General features: G+C 57.4%; 2 protein-coding genes and 1 non-coding gene across 3 annotated transcripts, besides 7 other annotated features; all 3 read left to right on the forward strand.

Moving 5' to 3' along the window:
• Positions 49-549: an enhancer, noted in NCBI's record as "H3K27ac hESC enhancer chrX:153665032-153665532 (GRCh37/hg19 assembly coordinates)". NCBI's record gives its function as "activates a minimal SCP1, AML or CMV promoter by ChIP-STARR-seq in naive H9 embryonic stem cells {active_cell/tissue: H9 hESC(naive)}" and the evidence as "EXISTENCE:reporter gene assay evidence [ECO:0000049][PMID:30033119]".
• Positions 517-6,830, forward strand: GDI1 (GDP dissociation inhibitor 1). The gene is made up of 11 exons (NM_001493.3): positions 517-662; positions 1,886-1,993; positions 2,128-2,227; positions 2,369-2,503; positions 3,304-3,502; positions 3,738-3,869; positions 4,459-4,558; positions 4,986-5,157; positions 5,474-5,618; positions 5,737-5,791; positions 5,883-6,830. Exons 1-11 carry the CDS (start codon positions 618-620, stop codon positions 6,033-6,035), a joined length of 1,344 nt encoding a protein of 447 aa, NP_001484.1. The 5' UTR covers positions 517-617; the 3' UTR covers positions 6,036-6,830.
• Positions 1,904-2,403: an enhancer, noted in NCBI's record as "H3K4me1 hESC enhancer chrX:153666887-153667386 (GRCh37/hg19 assembly coordinates)". NCBI's record gives its function as "activates a minimal SCP1, AML or CMV promoter by ChIP-STARR-seq in naive H9 embryonic stem cells {active_cell/tissue: H9 hESC(naive)}" and the evidence as "EXISTENCE:reporter gene assay evidence [ECO:0000049][PMID:30033119]".
• Positions 7,131-7,698: an enhancer, noted in NCBI's record as "H3K27ac-H3K4me1 hESC enhancer chrX:153672115-153672682 (GRCh37/hg19 assembly coordinates)". NCBI's record gives its function as "activates a minimal SCP1, AML or CMV promoter by ChIP-STARR-seq in naive H9 embryonic stem cells {active_cell/tissue: H9 hESC(naive)}" and the evidence as "EXISTENCE:reporter gene assay evidence [ECO:0000049][PMID:30033119]".
• Positions 7,332-7,681: a silencer, noted in NCBI's record as "silent region_21103". NCBI's record gives its function as "represses an Ori minimal core promoter by ATAC-STARR-seq in GM12878 lymphoblastoid cells {active_cell/tissue: GM12878}" and the evidence as "EXISTENCE:reporter gene assay evidence [ECO:0000049][PMID:35858748]".
• On the forward strand, positions 7,504-14,017 carry FAM50A (family with sequence similarity 50 member A). The gene is made up of 13 exons (NM_004699.4): positions 7,504-7,709; positions 8,996-9,080; positions 9,175-9,274; positions 9,778-9,923; positions 11,847-11,923; positions 12,053-12,119; positions 12,256-12,317; positions 12,584-12,660; positions 13,044-13,098; positions 13,246-13,294; positions 13,392-13,462; positions 13,572-13,682; positions 13,787-14,017. Exons 1-13 carry the CDS (start codon positions 7,599-7,601, stop codon positions 13,793-13,795), a joined length of 1,020 nt encoding a protein of 339 aa, NP_004690.1. The 5' UTR covers positions 7,504-7,598; the 3' UTR covers positions 13,796-14,017.
• Positions 7,692-7,901: a silencer, noted in NCBI's record as "silent region_21104". NCBI's record gives its function as "represses an Ori minimal core promoter by ATAC-STARR-seq in GM12878 lymphoblastoid cells {active_cell/tissue: GM12878}" and the evidence as "EXISTENCE:reporter gene assay evidence [ECO:0000049][PMID:35858748]".
• Positions 7,912-8,001: a silencer, noted in NCBI's record as "silent region_21105". NCBI's record gives its function as "represses an Ori minimal core promoter by ATAC-STARR-seq in GM12878 lymphoblastoid cells {active_cell/tissue: GM12878}" and the evidence as "EXISTENCE:reporter gene assay evidence [ECO:0000049][PMID:35858748]".
• Positions 8,266-8,833: an enhancer, noted in NCBI's record as "H3K27ac-H3K4me1 hESC enhancer chrX:153673251-153673818 (GRCh37/hg19 assembly coordinates)". NCBI's record gives its function as "activates a minimal SCP1, AML or CMV promoter by ChIP-STARR-seq in naive H9 embryonic stem cells {active_cell/tissue: H9 hESC(naive)}" and the evidence as "EXISTENCE:reporter gene assay evidence [ECO:0000049][PMID:30033119]".
• MIR6858 (microRNA 6858) lies at positions 13,683-13,749 on the forward strand. The gene has a single exon (NR_106917.1). It is a non-coding gene; the product is annotated as a microRNA 6858 (primary transcript).

The following is a 19,843-nucleotide window of genomic DNA, read 5'->3' on the forward strand; positions in this document are numbered from 1 at the left end:
TTTAGCAAGCTGGGCCCTAACCGCTCAGGGTAGGGAGGGGCGGTCGGGCCGAGTCCCGGTGCGCTTCGGCGTCTCAGGAGGCCGTCGTGACAATGGCAGCCTTCGCGTCGTGAGGGGGCCGCCCCAGGCTGCCGCAGCGGCGCGCGCCCGGCCGCGGGGCCGCGCCGAGACTCCCGGGGGGGTGGGCGGGGGTGGGGAGGTGGGCGGGCGCGCGCGGGGCGGGGCGGGGCGGGGCGCGGCGGGTGGGGCGGGGCGCGCGCGGCTCCCGCGCACGGATTCTTCCTGGGCCGCAGCACCGGCCGCCGGCCCGCCCCGCCCGCCCCGCCCCGCGCCTCTCTAGACTCTCGGCGAGCAGCGTCGCCCGCGGAGCCGCGCTGGTGCTGTGGCCCGGGCCCTGGCAGCCCTCCCGGGAGGCGAGCCGGGGAGGCGGTGGCCCCTGCCGGTTGCGGCGGGGCGCGGGAAGAGGCGGGACTCTTTGACGCGGCGGAGGGGTCGGGCGACGGCCGACGCGCCGCCATCTTTGGTCCAGTGCGGTGGCGGCGGCGGCGGTGGCGGCGGCGACTGCTGCGGTGAAGGAGGAGGAGGAGCCGAGCGGGCGCTGGCACCGAGGCCTGACCATGGACGAGGAATACGATGTGATCGTGCTGGGGACCGGTCTCACCGTAAGTGCGGCCCCGGCGCCCCTGGCCCTGCGTCGTGCCCTCGCCATCCCCCGCGATGATGCGGCCGCCGGCCCATCCTCTGGTCACTGCCATCTTCTGCGCTCCGCTCCCCGAAAAGCCGGCGCCGTGCCCACCCCGCTGCTCCCCCAGCGACGTCGCCTCTGCTCGTTGCCATGACCCCATCTCCCCGAAGAGGCCCCCTTCCTGGCCGCCTCCTGGGCTACCCGGGTCCGACCCCCGGCGCCCTCCCATCTTCCCTACCCCTGCCCGCTGGACCGGAAAACGCACCCCCACTCGGCCCGATGCCCACGACCCCGCCCACCCATCGCCCCCACCCATCACGGCATCCACCCGTCGCCCGCACCCATTGCCCGCCTAGCGTTGCCTCTCAGCGTCCGTTCCCATCTTGCGCTAATCCCGGTGGGGATGAAGTAGAAGGACCTGGGGTCAGGGGGCCTCGCCAGAGTGGGCCCTCAGCCCGCCTCCTCATCGTCTTCTGGGGCCAGGGGATCCAGGGAATGTTCCAGAAGGAACAGCAGTGGGGGCAGTAAGCACATTCCCGCAACCCCACCTCGGTTGCCCATGGAGACCTCAGGCTGGGTAGCATCTGCAGCCTTTGTCCTTGGGCTAGTGACAGTGACTGGTGAGGGTGTTTATCTTCCCCCTTTCCCCGAAAACCCCGTTGGCCTACTCCCCTCAGAGACTCTTCTTCCTCGGTCCAGGCCCAGATGCCCCTCCTCAGCGGCAGGGGCTCCTGCTATTTGAAGAAAGAGCAGTCCAGGGTGGGGCCTACAATTTCAAGGACTGTGCTAAGCCTTTCTTTTCCTCCCTTTCGAGTGTCCTTTGCAGTCCAGCTGGGTCTTCTCTGTGCCTTATTGTGTTTTATCCGCCTTTTTGTGCGGCTCTGCGTAGGTAGATGCCTCTCGGCGTGTTGGTACTGGAAGGCCATCCTGTGTCTGCTGGATGCCCTGCCTCCCTCAAAGCCTCCGTTATTTCACTCTCCGCCTTGTGAGGGGGACGGGACTCCTTTGCCCAGCAAGGTTGCAATGGAGAGTGTGGTCGGATGAAGCCATCACCCCAATTTTAGGCGAGGCAACTAGCCAGTGGGGATGGTGGGTGGAAGGAGCTGTCCACTGAGGCAGGTTTGGGTGGGGAACAAATCAGGTCTGCTGGTAGGAGCGGAGGCAGGTGGGAGTGCAGCGGATGGTGTCACCCTCCCCCAGGAATGCATCCTGTCGGGCATCATGTCTGTGAACGGGAAGAAGGTGCTGCACATGGACCGGAACCCCTACTACGGGGGCGAGAGCTCCTCCATCACACCCCTGGAGGAGGTGAGGCTGCCCAGGCCCAAGCCTATCCCTGTTAACCTCCCACATAGCGGCACAGGGTGGAAGTAGCTCCCCAGGTGCCTGGAGCAGGAGGAGGTGGTCCCTGAGGTGTCTCTCTCTCTCCCTTCTGCTTACAGCTGTATAAGCGTTTTCAGTTGCTGGAGGGGCCCCCTGAGTCGATGGGCCGAGGCCGAGACTGGAATGTTGACCTGATTCCCAAATTCCTCATGGCTAACGGTGAGGGACAGGAAGGAGGTATTGCAGGTCGGGGGTGATAGGGAAGACCCGAGGACGGTCAGGCTCCAGAGGAGGCACGGCCAGACCAGCTAGAGCCTCTGGAGAGAGCCGTGCTGATGTTGCCCTTGTGCACCCCCACAGGGCAGCTGGTAAAGATGCTACTGTATACAGAGGTGACTCGCTACCTGGACTTCAAGGTGGTGGAGGGCAGCTTTGTCTACAAGGGGGGCAAGATCTACAAAGTGCCGTCCACTGAGACTGAGGCCTTGGCTTCCAGTGAGTGTGGGCCCCCTGAGCCAGAGAAATCATGGGGTGGCAGGGAAGCCAACTGTCTTTGGGATGGGTGGCTGTCCAGAATAAGGCACCCCCTTGTCCAAAGTCACATTTCCCGTGAAGGACCAGAGAGGCCCTTCACTCTGTATTCCCTCTGCCCCATGTCATGCTGCACGGCTGGCTGCCAGGAGGGAGGTCCTCACACAGCAGGGATGTGATGTGGAGGGGAACGGGGCTCCTTTTGAAAGACTTGAGCCTGGCCAGGTGCGGTGGCTCACGCCTGTAATCCCAGCACTTTGGGAGGCCTAGGCGGGTGGATCACGAGGTCAGGAGTTCAAGACCAGCCTGGCCAACATGGTGAAACACCGTCTCATCTCAAAATACGAAAAATTAGCTGGGTGTGGTGGCATGCACCTGTAATCCCAGCTACTCGGGAGGCTGAGGCAAGAGAATGGTTTGCGCCCGGGAGGCGGAGGTTGTGGTGAGCCGAGATCACACCACTGCACTCCAGCCTGGGCGATAGAGGGAGACTCCATCTCAAAAAAAAAAACAAAAACTTGAGCCTTTGGCAGGGCCTCCACTGAATCCCCGAGACATCGCCAAGTGTCTGAGCCAGGAAGGCCCTTAGAGCCCATCCAGGCCAATCCCCTCTTCATCCAGGTGGGGAAACTGAGGCTAAAAAGGGTGGAGAGGTTAACCTAAGATCACAGGACAGCTGGGCTGTGAGTGGGGGTGCCTGCCCTGCTGGGATGGAGAGTTTTGTGCTGCATTGATGCAGAACCTCCTCCCGCCGCGTTCCTTAGATCTGATGGGCATGTTTGAGAAACGGCGCTTCCGCAAGTTCCTGGTGTTTGTGGCAAACTTCGATGAGAATGACCCCAAGACCTTTGAGGGCGTTGACCCCCAGACTACCAGCATGCGTGACGTCTACCGGAAGTTTGATCTGGGCCAGGATGTCATCGATTTCACTGGCCATGCCCTGGCGCTCTACCGCACTGATGAGTGAGGGGAAGCTGGGTGGTGGCAGCCCCCTCGCCCGGCCCGCCCCCACCCTTCCCACACCTGCCTGCTGTCCCCCTGCCCCGCATGTCTCTTGTACTCAGCCACAGGCTCACCTATCACCCTTTCCATTTCCCCCTTGCATTTGATCCTCATCTTCCCCAGGCCATTCAGGGTGGTGGGAAGACTGGCCTGGTACCTGGGTGGGGGTAAATCAGGGGTGCTGCTATTCCCCCAGCTACCTGGACCAGCCCTGCCTTGAGACCGTCAACCGCATCAAGTTGTACAGTGAGTCCCTGGCCCGGTATGGCAAGAGCCCATATTTATACCCGCTCTACGGCTTGGGCGAGCTGCCCCAGGGTTTTGCAAGGTGAGGACATGGGTTTTTTCAGTTGGCATAGCTGAGTAGGACTAGGGCCAGGAGTGGAGATGGCCGCCTTGAGCATTTTCTTGGTAGTATTTCCTCCTTTCCAATTCGTGCTCTTCATTTACTTCACTCCATCCTTGGGTGATGAGGGCACAACCCCAGTGCACTGAAGTACAGAAGTCTCCACACTTGAAAAAACGAGTCTCCACAAATGTGACTTGCTCAGTTCCCGGCAGCACCAGGACTGGGCCCAGGGTCCCAGAACCTTGAGTCAGGGCTTAGCTGGGAGCTGACCTATCTCCAGAGAGTCCATTCTGGTCCCTCAGGCTGTCTTGGTGCGGAGCACTGATCCCTCATGCCCCCTCCCGCTGGCCCTTGGCAGTGTATTCTGAGCAGAAGCTCCAGAGAGGAAAGAGCCCGCGGAGATGGGGCCAGCGTTCACGGCAGTGACAGAGCTGGGATGAATCCCGGCGTCTCCTACCTGCTGCCTGCCTGGGGCAGCCTTCTTTGCACTTTGGTGGAGGAAGGGTGCAGTGGAATTGGTCCCCGTTTCTCCTGGGAGGGGCCTTCACCGGAGCTGCTCTCACCACAGATTGAGTGCCATCTATGGGGGGACATATATGCTGAACAAACCTGTGGATGACATCATCATGGAGAACGGCAAGGTGGTGGGCGTGAAGTCTGAGGGAGAGGTGAGCCCTTCCCGTGCATGCAGTGCAGTCCCATGGTTGAGGCGGGGCTTGGTCACTTTCTCTGTGCTGTCGAGTCTCCTGCTGCACAGCCCCAAGGGTCTTGGAGCTGGGAACTGGGGGTCCAGAAGTCTTCAGAGTCATGACTGTGGGTGAGAGGTCTCTTTCAGAGGCCACATGCCATGTCTGTGGTGCAGAAAGTGTTCTTGATCACAGTGCCTCTGGGGGGCGGGGGGGCGGGCACCCAGCCCGTGCGTCAAGGCCCACCTATCTGAGCGGCAGGGTAGGGCCATGCATTCAGGAGGGGCAGTAGTGATGGCTCCGAGGAACGTCTTGTCTGCCAGAGCTGCCTGCCCTTGCTGTGAGCGCAGCCCCACGTCTACCTAAGGGAGGGATGTGACAGGGGCGAGGACTTCTGGTGCCTTCTCAGGTGGCCCGCTGCAAGCAGCTGATCTGTGACCCCAGCTACATCCCGGACCGTGTGCGGAAGGCTGGCCAGGTTATCCGCATCATCTGTATCCTTAGCCACCCCATCAAGAACACCAACGACGCCAACTCCTGCCAAATAATCATCCCCCAGAACCAGGTCAACAGGAAGTCAGGTAGGCCGGGCGCTGGTACAGCTTCCTCTAGGGTGTTCTCTTTGGGGTTACTCTTTTTCTCCCCATCAGTGTGGGAGCTCCCTGCCTTACCTCTCTGGAAAAAAATTTGAGCCACATTGTAGCCACCACAACTTGGAGCCCTAGGGTTTGGGTGGCCTGGACTCTTTCCCTCTGGGAGGGTGGCGGCTTGGATGCTACCTGCTCTGCGGGGCTGGGGAGGGGCAGTCGGGCCAGACTTGTGTCCAGCCACTGGAACCCCTCTCTGCGTATGGCCAGCGCCTCTGGCCTGAGTTGACGGAGCTCTTCCTGTGGCCAGACATCTACGTGTGCATGATCTCCTATGCACACAACGTGGCGGCCCAGGGCAAGTACATAGCTATTGCCAGCACTACTGTGGAGACCACGGACCCTGAAAAGGAGGTGGAGCCGGCTCTGGAGCTGTTGGAGCCCATTGACCAGAAGTGAGGGACTGGGCTGAGCCCAAGGGGGAGAGGGAGGGAGCCCAGCAGCTGGGCTTAGGGACCAGGAAGGGCATGGCCCATTGTGAGGCCTGTCCCCTCCCCTCTGTCTGCCCCTCAGGTTTGTGGCTATCAGTGACTTGTATGAGCCCATTGATGATGGTTGTGAGAGCCAGGTAAGCAGCTCGTCCCAGCCCTGGGCTCCTGGCTGCCCGCCCAGGATACCTGTCTGACTCACCCTGGGCGCTGGGCTCTGGCTGTTTCCAGGTGTTCTGTTCCTGCTCCTACGATGCCACCACACACTTTGAGACAACCTGCAACGACATCAAAGACATCTACAAACGCATGGCTGGCACGGCCTTTGACTTTGAGAACATGAAGCGCAAACAGAACGACGTCTTTGGAGAAGCTGAGCAGTGATTGTGGCCGCCCCCAGCCCCTGCTGCCCCAGCCTGTGTCTGTTCTCCTCGAGGGCTCCAGCATCCTCTGCTTCCCCCACCACGTTCCCATCACCCACCTCATTGATCCACTGACCAAATCCTTAACCCTAGCGATGGCTTGGGAGATGGGGGGTTGGATAGCATCCTCTTTCTTGGCCCTTCCTTATCCTAGGAAAAGAGGGTTCCTCTCCTTGTGTGTGTCTCTTCCCCCCACCCCTAATTCTTCTGCTCTGTTTGGGAAGACGTGGAGGAAAAGGTGACTTCTGCCCCCACCGCTCTTACCCCCACTGTAGTGGCCTTTGGAGATGCCCCCACCTCCCCCCCACCAACTCTCGCGTGTTGGAGAGAAGGGGCCCTCCCAGCACAAAGTTGCATTCCTCCCCCCTAATTTATTCTAATTTATTAACTTTGACCCACCCTTTCTGAGCCTGCAGCCTTCCCGTGTGGCCTGAGGGCTGTCGAGTGAGCTGCCCCAGCCCCTCCCAGCCCTTGCCCAGCCTGGGGGAGTGGGGAAGGCTTGGGCATGGCCCCGTTGGAGGTTGATTTGCTGTTTTGTTTCTTGTCTTTGTGTTCTGTGGTACTTGCTGAGAGAAAAGAAAAGTGAGCCAAGCAGAAGGAGGTGGGAAAACGGACCCAAACCCCAGTGTGCCCTGCCCCATGCCTTTCCTTTAGTGGTGGGAAACCCTTATCTTGCAAAGTGAATGTGTCCCCTTCCCCACCCTCTAGTGTATTTCACAGAAAACAAAACCTCCCAATAAAACGGTTGAAACCTGAATCTCTGGATCTTGATGGTTATCTCCCAAAAGCTGGGTACCTGGCAGGGCTTTGGCTGCCTGGGTTGGGGCTCTGGCTTAGCTTCACTCTGGACTGTAAAAGGTGGCATTCTTCACCAGGGAATTCCTCACCCAGAGCACGCTGGGGCCAAATTGACTTAAAGCTTAAGGCTACCCAGTGAGTCGATGCTGGCACCAGGACTGCAGCCCTCAGTGCTCAATGCAGGGGGAGTGTGGTGGAGGGCGGGTGTCAACGTGGAGGAAGCAGAGGGAGCGGGGGTCCTGGCCTCTGGCTTGAAAGGAGAGGGCAGAGGGGACCAGGGGCCAGCCTCGGATGGGATTCTAAGTGAAGCAGGGAGACGGGTGCCAGTTTTCGGCTTAATGCGGGGGAACTAGGGCAGCCAGGGGACCAGCGTTGGGGTCACCAGGAGGAATTAGAGGGACCGGGGCCCAGCCTTGGCTCGGGTTAACGTCGAGGCAGCGCGAGGGGCTGGGGAATTCAGCCTCCGGGGTCCACAGGAGCCGGCGGCGGGGGCTGGGGCGGGAGTCCACGCAGGACCAGGGGCGGTCTCCGGCGGGGCGGGGCGGGCGGTGGTCACGCTCCGGGCCAGCTGGCGCGCGGCGGGGCGGGGCATCCGTGCGTCTCCTGGTGGCTGACGTCACGGCGCGGGCGTCAGCTGACTGTTCGGCCGCCACCGCCGCTGCCGCTGCCGCTGTCGCTGTCGCCGCCGCCGCCGCCCGCCGCCGCCGCCGCCGCCGCCGCCGCTGCCATGGCTCAATACAAGGGCGCCGCGAGCGAGGCCGGCCGCGCCATGCACCTGATGAAGAAGCGGGAGAAGCAGCGCGAGCAGATGGAGCAGATGAAGCAGCGCATCGCGGAGGTGCGAGCCGGGGAGCCTCGGAGCATGCGCGCTGCCCAGGTCCCCGGCGGCCCCGCGCCACGCTCCGGCCCTGGAAGCCCTGGGGCGGTGGCCACGGAGCGCGGGCGGCGCGCCGGGGCAGGCCCCTGGCTCGCTGACTTCCAGCAGGGCACACAGAAGCAAGCCAGCGACAGTCTCATCTGTGAAATGGGCCTGGAGCCGGGCGTTCTCCGAGGCTGAGGCCACTAGCTGATGACCGGCCTCCGGCAGGAGGGAGCCGAGCCAGTGTTTCTGTTGGGAGGCACGGCGGGGACGGGCCTCTCGTCGCCTCGCCTGGGCACCCAGCGTCCTGGCTCTGGCCCCTCGGCCCTCAGAGCCAGGCCTCTGCCCCCTCGGCCCTCAGAGCCAGGCCTCTGCCCTGGTCCTATGGACACCGGGCAGGGCGGTTCGTCTCCCCCTGGAGAGGCGGGGAGGCCTGAGCCAGACCTGGCAAGTCCACTGGCCAGGAGGCTCCTTCCAGAACCCCTTGCACCTGTGAGGCAGGCACGACCCTCCCGGGTGCCAGCGGTTCACCCACTGCTTCCGTGAGTGGCCTGTGATGGTGGTGGTCAGGGAAGGAGCGTGGAGGAGCTTGATCCTTTTGGGGAGACTCACTCATCAGGACTCGGGGCTCCAGGGGAGAGCAGGCTCCTGCCTGGGGAACTGGGGAAGCCTGGCCAGAGGAGCCTTGAAACACCAAGTCCTCATGCCCTGGCCGCACTGTCTGAGCCGGGGTGCCCAGCAAGCAGAAGGTGTATTTCTCTGCCAGCCACCTTCTTGGGAGACCACTGGTCAGCGAGGGCTTGACATGGTACCAAGTGGGTTGGGGCTGGGGCCAAAGAGAGGCCTCCTGGGAAGCTGTTGATGACATTCTGGGGCCTGGAGGGAGGAAAATCACTCAGGGAGGGGCCAGGCCCCTCAACCACTCTGTTCTTGTTTGCCCTCTCCTCATAACCCTTGGCTTGGGTCTCGGAAGCTTCAGCTTAAAGGCTGGAGATGAAAAAGGCCAAAGGTCAGTAGGGTCGGTGGCTTCAGGCTACTGAGGGACCTGTGATCCCCAGCAGGAGACCTGAAGAGCCAGAGCAGCTCAGGGATGGAAACAGCCCCATTTGGCACTCTTAGCATTTGAAGAGCCCTGCCCAGCCTCATGGAACCTTCCATCGACAAGGGCACAGGGGCAGATTTGGACTATAACGCAGGTCCTTGATGGCCAGCCTGCCATTTCCACAGTGAGGGGTGGTTCTCATGGTGGCTGTCACTCCCCGCAGGAGAACATCATGAAATCCAACATTGACAAGAAGTTCTCTGCGCACTACGACGCGGTGGAGGCAGAGCTCAAGTCCAGCACCGTGGGTGAGCAGGGTGCGGGTGCCCCTCACCCGGGCCCCGGGCCACTCTTCCGCTGGCCCTGCGACTACCTTGCCCCTTGTGCCTCCTTGCTTCAAAGGTCTCGTGACCCTGAATGACATGAAGGCCAAGCAGGAGGCTCTGGTGAAGGAGCGGGAGAAGCAGCTGGCCAAGAAGGAGCAGTCCAAGGAGCTGCAGATGTGGGTCCTCTCGCCGCAGCCCTCAACATGGAGCTAGTGCTTACGGGGTCCCGTGGCTGGTCGGGCTCTTTTTGCACCCTGGGGGGGACCCTGTCTCCAGCTTTGGGACAGGGGTAGCATCTAGCTTGCGATTTGCATTTCTCTCTCCCGCCTCCTCGGGTCCACGCTCACGTCTTTTCACCATGGCGGCTTGTCTTCTTTCTGACCCTCTAAATGCAGTGGGCCCTTTCCCAGCATCCGGTGCCTGAGCAGCCTGCGTTCTCCCCATTGCCAGCCTGTGCTTGGCTCTCCCCTGTGGCCCTCTGTGCTTGCTGTTTGTAACAGAGCCCTCGCCCATGAGCTCAAAGTGATCCAGGACAGCAGGACCCGTCTGGGGCAATGGGGACCCAGCCTGGGCTGGGCAGGCCCCACATAGGGCACACAGGTGGCTCTGGGTCAAGGAAGGGGCTGGGTCAGGGTCGGGAAGGACATGATGTGTGATGGGGCCACCTGCACCTCACTAGGAAGCTGGAGAAGCTTCGAGAGAAGGAGCGTAAGAAGGAAGCCAAGCGGAAGATCTCCAGCCTGTCCTTCACCCTGGAGGAGGAAGAAGAGGGAGGCGAGGAGGAAGAGGAGGCGGCCATGTATGAGGAGGAGATGGAAAGGGAAGGTGAGGGCTGGCTTGAGTCGGAGCCCCGCCCGCAGCCCCTGGGGAGGGGTCCCCAATGTGAGAGGCTGTCAGCAAAGCTGATGCCCTGTCAAGATGGCTCCAAAAGCTGCCCTCTTGAGGCACCGCGCACAGTAGACCGGGGAGGGAAGAGGCTGGTCTAGACCAGGCTGGCTGGGCACATTTTCTGTGATGATGGAAATGTTAGAGTCTGTGCCACCCAATATGGTAGCCACTTGCCCCAGGTGCCTCGTATGACTGGGGCACTAAATGGTGAATTCTGTTTGATTTGTTTCAGCGTAAATGTATACAGCCACAGAAATTCCGAGGCTACTAGTCAGACACTGCAGGTCTCAGCTGTGAGAACAAGGGGCTGTCAGGGAAAGCTCAGGATGGCTGGGGAGTGAGGGTAAAGCCAGCCTGGCCTCCACGTGTGCCACACACCTGTGCTGTGCCTGGCCAGGGCACATAGGGTGCTGTCCCTCTCCTGGTGGAAGTCACGGGTCACCATGCACTGAAGACACTACTCAGGGTTACTGCTCTGCTTGGGGCCCACCGGGCTAACCCAGGGGTCAAGGAAGGAGGGGAGGGTTGAGTTAGGCCCTAAGGATGAGGGGAGTTGCATTCGCCAGAGAGGCAGGAGGGGCGACGAGAAAGTACATGCCAGAAGCCCAGCAGGAAAGAGCTTTTCAAAACGTTTGAAGATTGGGAGCAAGTTGTGTCACGGGCCCCTGGAGGGTGTGGTGGCAGTTCTGGAAATTGTGTCACCCAGGGAATGGCAGAGGGAGAGAAGCGAGGCAGGGGATGGTGCTGTGTGGCTGTGGTAACAGGCTGGGTGCCATGGCTTTGAGGGGAGTGCAGGATTGTAGGGAGGAAGAACCTGCCAGCCACCTGCCATTTGGGTTCCATGTTCCAGCAGCCACAGTAAAACATAGAAAAAGAAACAAGCAGGATTTTAGTATGACATTGTATTTAACCCAGCGTATCCAAAATATCACCATTGCGGCAGGCGCACTAGCTGCAATGCTGGGGTGCTGTGTGCAGCGGGAGCTACTGGTTTGTGTTTGTGTTTTTGTTTTGGTTGTTGTTGTTTTTGAGACAGTGTCTCCCTGTGGCCCAGGCTGGAGTGCAGAGGGGCGATCACAGCTTACTTCAGCCTTGACCTCCTGGACTCAAGGGACCCTCCCACCTCAGCCACTTGAGTAGCTGGGACTACAGGCGCTTTGTATTTTTGTATTTTTTGTAGAGACGGAATCTCGCCATGTTGCCCAAGCTGGTCTCGAACTTGGGAGCTACTGGCGTGGACAGTGCAGGCCTGGGGGAAAGGTTGTCACCCTCACTGTGTGTCACTGGGGCTTTTACAAAACACTGCTTGGTGGGCTCTTCCCTCCCTCCACAGGTTCCGTTTAGGGGGCCCAGCCACAAGACCCCAGGCTCTAGAATCTCTGCCCTTGAGCATCAGGCTAAAGAGTTTAGATTTGTCTTTTTTTGTTGTTCTTTTCTTTTTTTTCTTTCTTTTTTTTTTTTTTGAGATGAGGTCTCACTCTGTTGCCCAGGCTAGAGTGCAGTGGTTTGATCACGGCTCACTGCAGCCCCGACCTCGCAGGCTCAAGCGATCCTCCCACCTCAGCCTTCTGAGTAGCTGGTACTACAGGTGCGCCACCACACCCGGCTGATTTTTTTGAGTTTTAGTAGAGACGAGGTCTTGCTATGTTGCCCATGCTGGTCTCCACCTCCTGGGCTCAAGTGATCCTTCTGCCTCATCCTCCCCAAGTGTTGGGTTGACAAGCGTGAGCCTCTGTGCCCGCCCTAGGCTTGTCTTCTAGATCGACTGTTCTCAAGGTATGCTTGGGGGACCCTGGGCGTCGGCCATATCAAAATCATTTTTATAATAATGCTATGATATTCGGCTTCCTTTTGTTCCAGAGATCACCACGAAGAAGAGAAAACTGGGGAAGAACCCAGACGTTGACACAAGCTTCTTGCCTGATCGAGACCGTGAGGTAAAGGCTGCCTGGCCCTGACCCCGGCCTCGACTCCAGCCCTGGTGGAGACCCTTGCTTAGGGAGCCAGGCTCTGCGTGCACCCTGAGCAGCCCTGGGCCTCACCTGTCTGCCTGCTCCCTCTCCCAGGAGGAGGAGAATCGGCTTCGGGAAGAGCTGCGGCAGGAGTGGGAAGCCAAGCAGGAGAAGATCAAGAGTGAGTGTTTGCGGAGTCAGACGCGAGGGGCCTGGGCCCAAGCCAGCTTCCCTGTCCACAGTCTCCTGGGTGGTGCGCTGAGCCCCAAGGCTGCTCTCAGTGGGGCTGGAGACCAAGAGGCAGCTCTGCCTTGTAGGTGAGGAGATCGAGATCACCTTCAGCTACTGGGATGGCTCTGGGCACCGGCGGACAGTCAAGGTAGGCAGCGTGCAGCCTGCTTCCTGCTCACCATGGGCCCAGCCTCCCTCAGGTTCCGTGGGAAGGAACTGACCTTCCTGACTTGGGAAGCCCCAGGGATCCTGAGGATAACTGGCTCCAGGGCCTGGCCCCCTGTCTGGGGAGTGAGGCCCAGGCCTGGCTGAGGCTCTGCAGCGTCTGGCAGGGCCCTCTGGGCCTCTGCCTTGTTGAGAGCCCTTCTGCAGGCTTCCGCCTTCCCTTCCCAACTCCTGGATTCCCGGATACAGATGAGAAAGGGCAACACCATGCAGCAGTTCCTGCAGAAGGCGCTCGAGATCCTTCGGAAAGACTTCAGTGAGCTGAGGTGTGAGGTGTGCGTGTGTGCACGGTGGTGTGTGTGGCACCTGTGGCTCCAGCCTGGGTGCCAGACACCCAGTGTGATGTGGGCGCTGTCTGGGCAAGCAAGCAGCGTGCTGGGCACTCTCCTCCCAAAAGAGGGGGTCAGGCTCCTCTTCCCTTCCCTCCCACCAGAGAGCTTTGCTGAGAGCGGCCTGCCTTGGTTCCTTAGCCCAAAGGTGGAGGGTGCTGGGCGCCAGTCCTGTGCTCACTAAACCATGGAGCTTCCCTCACAGCCAACTGGCCGCTGCTTCCCAGCCCCAGCATGGGCTCTCCTGGGCTGGCTGTCTCCTCCCTCCCTGGGCAGGGGTGCTGTCCTCTTGCCCACGCCCTCCTGCCTTCCTCCCTCAGGTCCGCAGGGGTGGAGCAGCTCATGTACATCAAGGAGGACTTGATCATCCCTCACGTGAGTCCCTTCAGCCCCAGTACCCGCAGTGGGTGCAGCACCCTGGGCTTTGGCTCAGGCTGGTGGGGGCAGTGTGCGCAGGCGGGGGGTGTGGGGAGGGGCCGAGATGGACCATCAAGACGCCGCTTTCCTGCCCTTGGCTCCCAGCATCACAGCTTCTACGACTTCATCGTCACCAAGGCACGGGGGAAGAGTGGTGAGTGCCGCCGACCCAGCCGCCCCCATAGCACCTTGCCGCCGATGTTGTCACTGGGGCAGCAGCGGGACATTGGGCTGTCACTTCTCCCCTGCAGGACCACTCTTCAACTTTGATGTTCATGACGATGTGCGGTTGCTCAGTGACGCCACTGTGGAGAAGGATGAGGTACAGCGTAGGGGGCCGTGTGAGGGGGAACGGGTGTCCCTGGGCTATGGAGGAGAAGCCAAGGGAAGGGGAGGTCAGCAGGCGGCCCTGTGCCCTCTTCCTCCCTTAGTCCCATGCAGGCAAGGTGGTGCTGAGGAGCTGGTACGAGAAGAACAAGCACATCTTTCCCGCCAGCCGCTGGGAACCCTACGACCCTGAAAAGAAGTGGGACAAGTACACGGTGAGGAGGGGCTGGCAGGGACCCCTCCAAGTTGGGGACGGCAGCCAGCCCCTGCTCACCCCTCGCCTTCCTTGTCTCCTCTGCCCACCTTGTCCTCACACTAGATCCGCTGAGCATCCAGGAGGCTGCGCGGCCCCGGCTCCTCAGCTCCCTCAGTGTGCCCCGTGGTGTCACCGGGACTCCAGGCACCCGCTCCCCTGCGACCATGCCAGGCACGCTGGGAGGAGGACGGCAGCTGCTCGTGTCCTGCCCCTGCCACATCAGTGACTGCTTTATTCTTTTCCAATAAAGAAGTGCACGTGTCAGAGCTGGAGCGCCTGCATTGTGAGAAACCATTTGTGTTCGGACCAAATTCATTTGTCATTTTGACCATTTAAAACTGTACAATTTGGTGGCATTTAGCACATTTGCCATGTTGTGTAGTCATCACCCTGGTCTGCTTCCAGGACATTCTCATCCCTCCAAAGGCCCTGTGGCCATAGGCAGGCTCCTCCCCTCACATCCCCCCACCAGGCTCTCATGTGCTTTCTGTCTCCATGGATTGACCTGTTCTGGACGTGTCATACGTGCCTGGGGAGTCTGTCACCGTGGCAGCCCCACCATCCCTGAGGTGTCTTTGTGGCACTGTGCTTCTTGACCGTGGGCACCTGTCCTTGGGCGGTGGTGGCTCTGGTGGGTGGGAAGGGGGTTCCTCCCCAGGCCTCTCTCCCAGGCCCTTGGGCTCCTGTTGAGTTTCCCGTAGGGGACGTGGCCGTCCTGTGGCCACGAAAACCCATCCTGCCTTCCTTGCTGTGGGCCGTCCCAGCACAGTCGTTCTGCTGTGGTGCCCTGTGCTCGACACTTGCCTGCCCTGCCCTAGCTAGCCCTGCTCAGACAGCCCTTGGGGCAGGATCCAGATCGGGGGTAGGTCCAGGACCCCTACTCTGCCACCTCAGCAGCTGATTCCCCAAGTTCCACTTGGCTAAGCTGAGGCAGGCAGGCCTGGCTCCAGGAGGCTGAGGAAGGCCAGCTGACAGCTCCCTGTTTCCTCCCCTGGCCTGAAGCCAAGAAGAAAGGGCAGGGGATAGCCCCTCACTGGCCAGGATCACCCCAGCCCTGGGTCTGGCCTCCCCTTCCTGGCAAATGTGGAGATCTGATGGTGCCCGATAGTGCAGAGGCCCAGTGTCTCATTCAGCGTGGCCGGGAAGTAGCCACCTGGCGTCACTAGGAATAGAGATGAGAGTAGACTAATGTTTTCTTTCTTTTCTTTTCCTTCCCTCCTTCCTTCCTTCTTCCTTCCTTCCTTCCTTCTTTCTTCCCTCCCCTCCCCTCCCCTCTCCTTCCTTTCCTCTTTCTTTTTTTTTTTTGAGACTGGGTCTTGCTCTGTCTCCCAGGCTGGAGTGCAGTGGTGCAATCTCAGCTCGCTGCAGCCCCCACCTCCTGGGCTCAAGTGATCCTCCCGCCTCAGCCTCCTGAGTAGCTGGGACTACAGGTGTGCACCACAATGCCCAGCTATTTTTATTTTTATGTACATGAAAATTGGAACAGAATTAAAAAAAAATTTTTTTTGTAGAGATGGGATATTGCTCTGTTGCCCAGGCTGGTCTCGAACTGCTGGGCTCAAGTGATCCTGCCACCTCAGCCTCCCAAATTGCTGGGATTGCAGGTGTGAGCCACTGTGTTTGGCTGAGTAGGCTATTTGATGCTCTGGAACCAGATAAGGTCACCAAGGATCAGTGTGTGCCAGGGGTGGTCACCCACTTTGCTCACCCGGGCCTCGTTCCTGGGGGCTGTGTGTGTAGAAAACAGAGAGGGAAACAAACAAAACAAAATGTAGAACAAGATGAGCTGGCCTTTGTGGCGTGGAGACATTTAAGCTGACATCCAAATGACAAGAAGTCAGCCATTCCGATGCGGGAGGGAGTGTTCCAGGCAGAGGGAACACCAAGTCTGGGTCAAAAGTGAGCTGGAGGCCGGGTGCAGTGGCTCATGCCTGTAATCCCAGCACTTTGGGAGGCTGAGGCGGGTGGATCACTTGAGGTCGGGAGTTCGAGACCAGCCTGACCAACATGGTGAAACCCCGTCTCTACTAAAAATACAAAAATTAGCTGGGCGTGGTGGCAGGTGCCTGTTATCTCAGCTACTCAGGAGGCTGAAGCAGGAGAATCGCTTGAACCCGGGAGGCGGATGTTGCAGTGAGCCGAAATCACGGCACCGCATTCCAGCCTGGATGACAAGAGAGAAACGCCGTCTCAAAAAAAAAAAAAAAAAGAAAGAAAAAAGGTGAGCTGGGCTGGAACAAGGGGAAGCTACCTTTTTCCCTCATCTTCACTGTCCAGCAGAAGCCATGTATTCAGGCGGTTCCCATGTCAGCATGGAAGCCAGTTCCTGCAATGTCCCCAACAGAGATGTGCTTTTCTTCACTGCCTGCTTACCTGTTCTCTTTCTCTAGACAAAGACAAGCTCCTACGGCTGCTCCTCCTGGCCCTCACCTTTCTCGCATGAAAGGTATTGCGCTTGCATGCTGTTCGACACCGTGTGATATAGTGTCCATTAGCGATATATCCCAATACTCGGCATCTTTCCACATGGGTGCATAGAGACCCTCATTCTCTCTTCAGCTGCAGAGTCAGCATGGCAGATATTGGCCAACTCCACTCCTTAGGGCCTGCCCACTTGGCAGCCTCATGGGCAGGATGAGGGCCGGCTCCCCCAGCCTTGCCCACACAGTGCCCTCACTCGCCGCCAGGAGACGCGTGCCAAGCTGAGATGGAGACATGGTTTCTCAGCATGGGGTTTTGTTTCTTCTTTGTGTTTTTAATTTTTTCAACTGAGGAAAAATTCACATAACAGAAAAGTAGCCATTAACCATTTTAAAGTTTACAATTTGGTGGCATTTGGTACATTCACATTGTTGTGTGACCATTGCCTCTCTCTACTGGAACATTTTCATCCCCAAAAGGAGACCCCGTGGTTGGTTATTCAGCAGTCTCTCCCCATTCCCCCACTCCCCAGGCCCTGGCAGCTGCTAATCTACCGTTTCAATGGATTGGACTGTTCTGGAAGCTTCACATCAATGGAATCATACAATACATGACCTTTTGTGTCTGGCTTGTTTTTCTTAGCATCATGTTTTTGAGGTTCATGGCTTACTTTTTATAACTAACTGAGTCGTAGTCCATTATCTGTGTACACCACATCTTGTTTATCTATTCATCCATGGATGGGCATTTCAGGTGTTCCTACCTTTCGGCTATTATTGTAAATAATGCTGCTATGAACATTCACGTACAAGTTTTTGTTTGACCTTAGTGTGGTTTTTAATTTGTATTTCTCTTTTCACATGTTTAAAAACTATGTGCATTTTATTTCTCCTGCAAACTGTCTATTCCTGGCATTTGCCCATTAATTGTATTGTTGGTCTTCTTTGTTTTTTTTTTTTTTTTTTTTTTAATAGAGACAGGATCTCACTATGTTGCCCAGGCTGGTTTTGAAATCTTGGGCTCAAGCAATCCTCCTGCCTTGGCCTCTTGTTGGTCTTTTTTTATCTAGAAATCGGTCAGGTGCAGTGGCTCCCGCCTGTAATCCCAGCACTTTGGGAGGCCGAGGTGGGCAGATCACCTGAGGTCAGGAGTTCGAGACCAGCCTGGCCAACATGGTGAAGCCCCGTCTCTACTAAAAATACAAAAATTAGCCGGGCGTGGTGGTGGGCACCTGTAATCTCAGCTGCTCAGGAAGCTGAGGCAGGAGAATAGCGTGAACTCAGGAGGCGGAGGTTGCGGTGAGCCGAGATCGTACCACTGTACTCCAGCCTGGGTGACAGAGCGAAACTCTGTCTCAAATAAATAAATAAATAATATGTAGAATCCTAGGTACCTTCCATGTATGAGAGAGAGTACCCCTTTGTGTTATACAGTGCAAATACTTTTCCTCGTTTTTCATTGATTTGATGGTGTTTTTTAGACACGAGAAGTTTATTTTTAGCTAGCTGGACTCTTTTGTCTTCTATGCCTTCTGGGTTTGAGGTCATAGTTAGAAGGTCTTCTGGAAGTCAGTGTTATAAAGGAAGTGATTGGAGGCTTTTACCAGGAGCAAGACATAATCTTGACTTAAGTTTTCCAGTCACTCTTGTAGCAGTGTGGCAAAGGGACTGGGGGAGGGCAAGCATGGGAGGCCAGTGAGGAGGCCACCACAGCTATCCTGATGAGAGGCTGGTGGCTTGGACCAGGGTGGGGACAGAATATCAGCTTCTGGATAGATTTTGGGGGGAAAGCCAACAAGATTTGCTGACGAATAGGACATGGAGTTTGAGAGAAAGAGAGGAGTCAAGAACTCCACTTTGGCCTGAGCAAGAGGAATAAACTTTACTAAGATGCGGGGCATGGGAAGAGAAGCAAGTCTGGGGTGAACAATGAAGGCTTTGCTTGTGGAAATGGTATGTTGAGATGCCTGTTAGATCCAAGCAGAGATTTGGATCTATGAACCTGGAGCCTGGAGTTCACAGGAGAGCTTGAGAGGATGGAGTGAGAAATTGCAGAGCTGTCAAGACAGACATGGCTGATGCTCTGGAACTAGAAAGATCGCCAAGGGAATCAAAGGGTAACACCTGCTCGTCTGGTCAAGCCAATGGATGAGATGACAAAGATGGGACTAAGGCCAGGCACAGTGGCTCACGCCTGTAATCCCAGCACTTTGGGAGGCCTAGGCAGGTGGATTGTTTGAGCCCAGGAGTTCGAGACCAGCTGGGCAACATAGTGAGACTCTGTGTGTATAGCAAATACAAAGATTAGCTGGGTGTGGTGGCACACGCCTGTAGTCCCAGCTACTTGGGAGGCTTAGGTGGGCGGATCACTTGAGCCCAGGAGGTGGAGACCAGCCTGGGCAACACGGTGAAACCCTGTCTCTACAAAAAATTCAAAAATTAGCCTGGCGTGGTGGCATGCACCTGTAGTCCTAGCTACTTGGGAGGCTGAGGTGGGAAGATTGCTTGAGCCTGGGAAGACGAGGCTGCAGTGAGTGGTGTTCATACCACTGCACTCCAGCCTGGGTGACAAAGTGAGACATTGTCTCCAAAAAGATCATTATACAAAAATCAATTTTTAAAAGTTTTTTGAGATAGAGTCTTGCTCTCTGTTGCCTAGGCTGGAGTGCAATGGCATGATCTTGGCTCACTGCAACCTCTGCCTCTTGGGTTCAAGCGATTGCCCCCCTCCTCAGCCTCCCAAGTAACTGGGATTACAGGTGCCCGCCACCATGCCTGGCCAATTTTCGTATTTTTAGTAGAGACGGGGTTTTGTCATCTTGGCCAGGCTGGTCTCGAATTCCTGATCTCAAGTGATCCGCCCACCTCTGCCTCCCAAAGTGCTTGAATTGCAGGCATGAGCCACCACACCTGGCCAATCAATTGTATTTCTATACACAATCCAAAATGAAATTAAGAAAATAATTCCATTTATAACAGTGTCAAAAAAGAATAAAATACTTATTAATAGATTTTTTTAAAAGAAGCATGAGATTTGTACACTGAAAAGTACAAAACATCATTGAAAGAAATTCAAGAAGACCTAAATAAATGGAAAGACATCTGTATTAGTCATGGTTCTCCAGAGAAACAGAACCAACAGGACACACACACACACAGTTTATTTTAAGGATTTGGTTCACCCAATTGTCGGGGCTGACAAGTTGGTGTGAAATTTGTAGGACAGACTGACGGGCTGGAAACTCGGAGAATTTCTGTGTTACAGTCTTGTTGTTGTTGTTGTTGAGATGGAGTCTCACTCTTGTCGCCCAGGCTGGAGTGCAGTGGCATGATATCAGCTCACTGCAACCACTGCCTCCTGGGTTCAAGCGATTCTCCTGCCTCAGCTTCCCGAGTAGCTGGGATTACAGATGCCCGCCACCATGCCCAACTAATTTTTGTATTTTTAGTAGAGACGGGGTTTCATCACGTTGGTCAGGCTGGTCTCGAACTCCTGACCTCAGGCGATCCGCCTGCCTTGGCCTCCCAAAGTGCTGGGATGACAGACATGAGCCACCGCGCCTGGCCTGTGTTACAGTCTTGAGGCAGAATTTCTGCTTCTCCAGGAAACCTCGGGTTTTGCTCTTAAAGCCATCCAACTAAATGGATGAGGCCCACACACATTATCAAGGGTGATCTCTTTTACTTAAAGTCAGTTGAG

Source organism: Homo sapiens, chromosome X (genome assembly GCF_000001405.40).
Source record: "Homo sapiens chromosome X, GRCh38.p14 Primary Assembly".
Classification (NCBI taxonomy): Eukaryota; Metazoa; Chordata; class Mammalia; order Primates; family Hominidae; genus Homo; species Homo sapiens.

Excerpts from the sequence above, each read along its gene's own strand:
- GDI1 (NM_001493.3), top strand. The coding sequence starts at position 618 with ATGGACGAGGAATACGATGTGATCGTGCTGGGGACCGGTCTCACC. Across the intron at positions 5,158-5,473 it reads CCAGGTCAACAGGAAGTCAG|ACATCTACGTGTGCATGATC; the intron begins GTAGGCCGGGCG and ends TCCTGTGGCCAG. Across the intron at positions 5,619-5,736 it reads TTGGAGCCCATTGACCAGAA|GTTTGTGGCTATCAGTGACT; the intron begins GTGAGGGACTGG and ends TCTGCCCCTCAG.
- FAM50A (NM_004699.4), top strand. The coding sequence starts at position 7,599 with ATGGCTCAATACAAGGGCGCCGCGAGCGAGGCCGGCCGCGCCATGCAC. Across the intron at positions 9,275-9,777 it reads CAGTCCAAGGAGCTGCAGAT|GAAGCTGGAGAAGCTTCGAG; the intron begins GTGGGTCCTCTC and ends GCACCTCACTAG. Across the intron at positions 13,295-13,391 it reads CAAGGCACGGGGGAAGAGTG|GACCACTCTTCAACTTTGAT; the intron begins GTGAGTGCCGCC and ends TCTCCCCTGCAG.